The following is a 1,022-nucleotide window of genomic DNA, read 5'->3' on the forward strand; positions in this document are numbered from 1 at the left end:
GGATTAACCTATAGATTTTAGCAAATATGAGTGATTAAAATAAAGAATATAATAATCCTAGCTACTATTCCAAGACATTTTAGAGGAAGTCCTTGCTAAAGTTCTAAACTCATTTTTAAAATTCCCTACTAACTTATTTAAATTCATAAACCTTTCATTAAAGAACTTTTTTGGATAAGCTGACAAAAAGTGTAAGTTAAGTCTTTTCAGTTGATGGTCATAAAAGCATGAGGAAAGGAAAATATTTTGGGTGGCTCTATGTTAGGAGAGACAAACACTGCATTGAAGATAATGTAAATGTATGAGACAATTTAACTAAGAAATACAAAAATAATAAAAGAGAGTCTGACAAAAGATGCAATCGTTCCAAATATTGATTAGTCTCAATGTTGAGCATATTCAAATTTGGCAGGCATTACCTTTGCACTCTGAGCTATACAATCTCTAGAGCTATTGATTTTTCAGGAACCCCATGTGGCATCACAAAATGGCAAAATTTGGCAAAATGGTAGGTCTATCAGTTGGTGACTGTTCTAAACCATTAAGTTATCAACTAATTAGTCATAGCAATTATCACACCATTTAATGTAGCATTAATTACTGTGAATAATGATACATTAACTTTAAATAAAAAGTATAATATATGACTCATAATAGCAAGAGGATGGGATTGATAATTGAAAGTGTGGTTTATTATGATATACTCAGCCTTTGATGTATGCAAATACGTATTCGAACTCCATCAGACAAAACTTAAAGAGGAAAGTTTAAAAGAAGTGGTCACGAAGAGACCTTAGACAAATGAAGAATATGCTCTCTAAAGGGACAAACTTCGGAATGGCCCTCTGCCTGAAACTGTTTACTATTTCCCTGACTAATGACCAAGGATAATAGGGCCTCTAAGAGCTCTAAGAGAGCAAACTAACATTAAAATAGACTGATTACGATGCAGGCAGAATACACTCTGAGGAGTCAACCTCATTGAAAAGTCATAATGGTCAGAATGAAGTTGTTATTGGGTC

The sequence above is a fragment of the Homo sapiens genome, chromosome 13 (assembly GCF_000001405.40).
Source record: "Homo sapiens chromosome 13, GRCh38.p14 Primary Assembly".
Taxonomy (NCBI): Eukaryota; Metazoa; Chordata; class Mammalia; order Primates; family Hominidae; genus Homo; species Homo sapiens.